The 5967-nt window shown below is 42.9% G+C and overlaps 1 annotated feature.

Annotated features, from left to right (window-relative positions):
• Positions 3890 to 4390: an enhancer, noted in NCBI's record as "H3K4me1 hESC enhancer chr5:14055383-14055883 (GRCh37/hg19 assembly coordinates)". NCBI's record gives its function as "activates a minimal SCP1, AML or CMV promoter by ChIP-STARR-seq in primed H9 embryonic stem cells {active_cell/tissue: H9 hESC(primed)}" and the evidence as "EXISTENCE:reporter gene assay evidence [ECO:0000049][PMID:30033119]".

Here is a 5967-nt window from a genome sequence, read left to right as displayed (position 1 = left end):
GAACACTGGTTCAGTCTGGAAAGGCAGGACAACTTGAAGGAAAGGCAGGAAGACTTGAAGCAGGGGAGAGGACTTCCAGGAAGTAGGTAGCTAATAGACAAATGGTTGCATGGTTGCATTCTGTGGAGTTTCTGATGAGCCTCTTCAAAGGAGGCAATCAGATATGCATTTATCTCAGTGAGCAGAGGGGTGACTGAGTAGAATGGGAGGCAGTTTGGCCCTAAGAAGTTCCCAGCCTGACTTTTCTCTTTAACTTAGTGATTTGGGGGCTCCTAAATTTATTTTTCTTTCACAACTGTGTCTCTGTTGTTCACTGCTGTATCACCAGGGCCTAGTTCATTAAGTAGTAAGTAATACAGGCTCAATAAATGCATGTTTAATGTATGAATATGTCAAGAAGTTAACCCAGAACCCAGGGCACAGCTGGTGCTGAAGAATTGGTTTTCTTCATTTCCTTCTTGCTTAAGAATGGTACTACTGGCTTATCTATAATATGGCATATATTTTGAAGGATTTTTTTCCTTAGTAGAAATGGTAGACTTGATTTTCTTCACATAGGTTTTCAAGGGCGGAATTTTCCAGTTAAATAACAGGACTTTTCAGTCTCTTTATACTTTCTAAAACAGTATACATTATAATAACAATAGCTAGAACTTAGAGGGTGCCTATCAGGTGCCAGGTATTTTGACAAAGCTCTTTAATCTTTACCATAATACTATGAAGCAGAAGAAGAACCCCATTTACAGAAGAAGAAACTGAGGTTAGGGAAGGTTAATTGTTTTGCCAACTAGTAGTCGGCAGAGCTAGATATTGGACCCCAGGTATATTGGATTTGAGTTCCATCCTTTTTCTATGAAGCTACACTGTTCCTCACACTGCCAGATTGCTTTGCAAAGGGGCCAATGGCAATGTTTCCCTATAGCTCCAAGTTTTCCTATTTCTTCCTAATTCAGTTGGCAAAAATCCATAACAATTCAAATGTTGCAGCTGCTGTGGAAAATAGATTGTAGTTCCTCAATAAGTTAAATGGAGTCACCATATGCTTCAGCAATTCCAGTCCAGGTATACAAAAGAATCAAAATGAGGTGTTCAAACAAAAACTTGTACAAAATATTTATGGCAGCATTATTTACAATAGCCAAAAGGTGGAAATAACCCAAATGTTCATCAACAGCTGAATGGAAAAGAAAATGTGATATATCCATACAATGGAATATTATCTGGCCATAAAAAGGCTAAAGTTCTAATGCAGGTTACAACATGGAGGAACCTGGAAAACACGCTGAGTGAAAGAAGTCAGACTCACGCCACGTATTGTTTGATCACATTTATATGAAATATGCAGAAGAGGCGAATCTGTAGAGACGGAAAATAGATTAATGGTAGTTAGGGAACTAGGGAGTGGAGAGTGACTGCTAATGGGGCTTCTTTGCGGGGTGATGAACGTGTTCTGGAATTAGAGAGTGATGATGGTTGCACAAGACTTTGAATGCAATAATGCCATTGAGTTGCATGCTTTAAAATGGTAAATTTTATGTTATGTGTGTTTTACCATGACAAAAAAATCCAGAACAAATCTGTAAGATGATAGGCAAGAAATTTTCCAGAAATATCAACATCTAGGTACTCACACAGCCCTTTCTTACGGCTCATCCTACACTCTTTTTCTTTCTTCTTCTTAGGAGAAATATTTATTTCTCTCCCACTTTACACTTAGGCATCCAAAGGCCCACGGATAACCTCCGCCAGGTATGTCGCTTTCCACTTCTTCTGGAACTGAGGGTGTGTTTGCTGCTGATCAGGGCAATGTCTACTTTATCTTCTTGGCTGTCCTCATTAGACTTGCCAAGCACTGTCAGAGAGAAGCAGGCTTTCTGCTGAAACATGAGGCTTTCTCCCAAACACATGGGTTAGTTCTCAAACTCCTGTTCACCTCTTTGCTTAGTTTCCTCTTGTGGCTAAGGGAAAAGCACAGAAGTTCCGTGGGCTACTTTCTGAGTCCGCATCAACCTCCACGACAATCTTTTTCTCTAACCTGGAGTTTCTTTGGCCACCAAGTTAATAGTCCATCACTCACTGCCTTCCACTCTTCAACTTCTTATTAATGCTTGTTCAATTTTGAACAGTTTGTCTGACTTGAAAAGAAACTGCAGAAGCTGCACTTTTGTAGTCACTAATTTTTTTTAAAGCTTGGCTTTCTGCCAGGCTTTTTAAAGGGCCCGTACAGATTTCCCCTATGATTGCCTGAAAACGCAGTTAACAACAACCACGAATTGTACCTACTGTGTGTCAGGCAGTATTCTTGGTGTTTTACATATAATCATTCATTGAATCTTCATACCTTCACGAGGTAGGTATAATTATTATTCCTGTTTTACAGATGAGAACAGTGAGGCACAGGGAGGTCGAGTACCTTGCCCAAGGTCAACAGACAGTGTCAGTCTTAGACTGTACGTAGAGTAATTTTTTTCAAATCTGTGTGGAGTGCCTGCATTGTCATAGGATGCTCCTCAAGCGAGGAAGCCATCATCCACAGGGGTGGATTCATAGTGACGGAGTCCAGGTACTGTGGCAGGTTAGTGGGAGAGAGAGTTTTGGGAAGGGGATCTTTCAGGACAACTCTTTACATCCCACCATCTGGGCATTCAGAATACCACAAGTGCAACGTCCCTGTTTTTTTTTTTTGTTTTTTTTTTTTAAGACGGAGTCTCACTCTGTTGCCCAGGCTGGAGTGCAGTGGCGTGATCTCGGCTCACTGCAAGCTCCGCTTCCTGGGTTCACACCATTCTCCTGCCTCAGCTTCCCGAGTAGAGGGGACTACAGGCGCCCGCTACCACGCCCGACTAATTTTTTGTATTTTTAGTAGAGACGGGGTTTCACCGTGTTAGCCAGGATGGTCTCGATCTCCTGACCTCGTGATCCGCCCGCCTTGGCCTCCCAAAGTGCTGGGATTACAGGCGTATGTCCCTGTTTTGACTGACCTTGGCATATGACAGAGTGGTTTAAGAAGCACAGACTCTGGGCTCAGGCAGAGCTGGGAAAAAATCTTGCCTCCATGACTTAATCAGTGGGCAAATTACCTTGGAAATTATTTTTTTCCTTCAATTATTTTATATTCAGGGGTACATGTGCAGGTTTGTTACATGAGTATATTGTGTAATGCTAGGGTTTGGGCTTCTATTGACCCCATCAGCCAAATAGTGAACATCATCCCCAACAGGTAGGTTTTCAACCCTCCTCCCCCTTCTTTCCTCCCCACTTCTGTAGTCCAGTGTCTATTGTTTTCATCTTTATGTCCATATGCACCCACTCTTTAGTTCCCACTTATAAGTGAGAAGTGGTATTTTATTTTCTGTTTCTGTATTAATTCACTTATCATAATGGCCTCCAGCTGCACACGTGTTTTGGCAAAGGACATGGTTTCATTCTTTTTTATGGCTGCATAGTATTCCATATTACCTTGGAAATTCTGAAGCCGAGGCTGACTGAGCCAGGAGGGAGTTCTCTGAAGAACTGCATGCCTAGGTAGAATTTTGGATTTGACTGGGATCTCTCAACCTTGGCACTACTGACACTGGGGAACACAGAATTCTTTGTTCAGGGGGGCCGTCCTATGCATCGGGTGATGTTTAGCCGCATCCCTGGCCTCCACTCACTAGATACCAGCAGCACCTCTCAAGTTGTGACAATGAAAAATGTCTCCAGGTGGGGTCAAATGTTCCCTGGGGGGCAAAATCGCTCTCAGTTGAGAACCATTAAATTAGATGACCTGAGGCCTCTTCCTATTCCAATATTATTTTATAATTCTGTCAACATGAAGAGCTGTTTTATATAGCATGGCTTCATTTGCATGTAGAGCAATGAGAATTGAGAGTCACCACTCAGATATGCAGAAGGGTAACCAGATTTCTGGAATTTGTTATATGAGCCTTTTCCTTTCAGTGGAAAAAAATCTCCGTAACAGTCATTCTCTGTTTTCACTCGGAAAAGCAATCTTGCCACTCAAGGTAATTCTGTATTTTCTGTTTAAAGACGAAAGCCTCTTTTGAGTAAATTTCTCACTCATTTCAAAGTTTGAAGTTCTTATGAAAGTTTCTCACCTTCATGATTTCTCCTCTCATCAGAAGTCCCTGAGTAATCCTTCTCCACCCAGAGAAGTCCCTGGGGCAGGGAGAAGTTTCTGGAACATTGAGGCATTGTCCTCAGGCAGCTGGTCCTCTGAGCTGGCCTGGGAGGAGCTATGTGTCCTCATACTTGGTCTCTTCTTTGGGTGGAACCTCGTCTTACTTTCTCTGCATACTGGGTACTCCCAGGGAGCTTGCGCCCCTGCCCTGCTGCCTGGTCACCCAGCCACAACGTCCTTCTGGCTCCCATCCCTGAGCTGTCACCCCTGGCCAATGTGCTCCTCTGCTCCAGTACAGGTGACCCCCAGCAGGCACCCTGAGGGAATTCTCAGTTACTACTTGGCCCTTGCAGGGCTATGGGAAAGTCCCTGGATCTCCACGATGCTTGGTGGGGTGTGAGTGGCTCTCCTGGGCCCTTCTTACTCCACATCTGCACTATTGCTGAAGGCAGCCCATTTCCTTCCCACCTCCCACCCCAACCTTCTGAGGCTGCCTTCTGCCTGGGCTCCAGGAGGGAAGAGTGGCACTGTCTGCCGGGCCTTTGTAGCAGCAGTCTTACCTTTGCAAGTCTGGAGAAAAATGGAAACAGCTGTTTCAGTATTTATGTTGTGTAATGTTAATTGGAAAGTGTTTAGAATTGACTTTGTAACTCCCTATAATGCCCCCCTCCAGCAATCCTTCAAGCCCACGGGATCACAATCCACTGAGCTTACCCCCAGGAATTTACCCTGTCGCTCTTGGGTGTTCACATCCCTCCTTATCCTGCTGAAATTGCACCTTCAGTTGGTTGTAAACATCTCTGTCCCTTCTCTCTCACTTCATTGCACTTGCTTGATGCATTAGTCAGGGTCCTCAGTTTAAACAGAACCAATAGAATATATATACAGTGATGGGTTGCTTAATCATGGGGATACTATTATGGGAAATGTGTCGTTAGGCAATTTCATTGTTATGCGAACATCACGGAATGTACTTACACAAACCTAGATGGAATAACTTACTATACACCTAGGCTATGTGGTATAGCGTATTGCTCCTTAGGCTACAAACCTGTACAGCATGTTACTGTACTGAATACCATAGGCAATTGTAACACAATAGTAAGAATTTGTGTATCTAAACACATCTAAACACAGAAAAGGTACGGTAAAAATGCAGTATAAAAGATGAAAAATGGTTCACATATACAGAACATGAATGGAGCTTGCAGAACTGGAAGCTGTGCTGGCTGAGTCGGTGAGTGAGTGAGGAATGAATGTGAAGGCCTAGGACATTGCTGTACATGACTGTAGACTTTATAAACATTGTACACTTAGGCTACACCAAAGTTATAAAAGATTTTCTTTCTTCAATAATAAATTAACGTTAGCTTACTGTAACTTTTTAAATTTATGAACTTTTAGACTTATTTGTAATACCTACTTAGCTTTAAGCAGATTGTACAGCTGTCCAAAAATATTTTTTCTTTATATCCTTATTTTAGAAGAGTTTTTCTATTTTTACAATTTTTAACTTTTTAACTTTTTTTTTTTTGAGATGGAGTTTCGCCATTTTGCCCAGGCTGGAGTGCAGTGGCACAATCTCGGCTCACTGCCAACCTCTGGCTTCTGGTTTCAAGCGATTCTCCTGCATCAGCCTCCCGAGTAGCTGGGATTACAGGCACCCGCCACCACACCCGGCTAATTTTTGTATTTTTAGTAGAGACAGGGTTTCACCATGTTGGCCAGGCTGGTCTCAAACTCTTGACCTCAGGTGATCTGCCTGCCTCGGCCTCCCAAAGGACTGGGATTACAGGTGTGAGCCACCGTGCCTGGCCAAATTTTTTTACTTTTTAAACTTTTTT

Source organism: Homo sapiens, chromosome 5 (genome assembly GCF_000001405.40).
Source record: "Homo sapiens chromosome 5, GRCh38.p14 Primary Assembly".
Lineage (NCBI taxonomy): Eukaryota > Metazoa > Chordata > Mammalia > Primates > Hominidae > Homo > Homo sapiens.
Note: the sequence above shows the minus strand (reverse complement) of the source record. Positions and strands in the feature narration are given on the sequence as shown.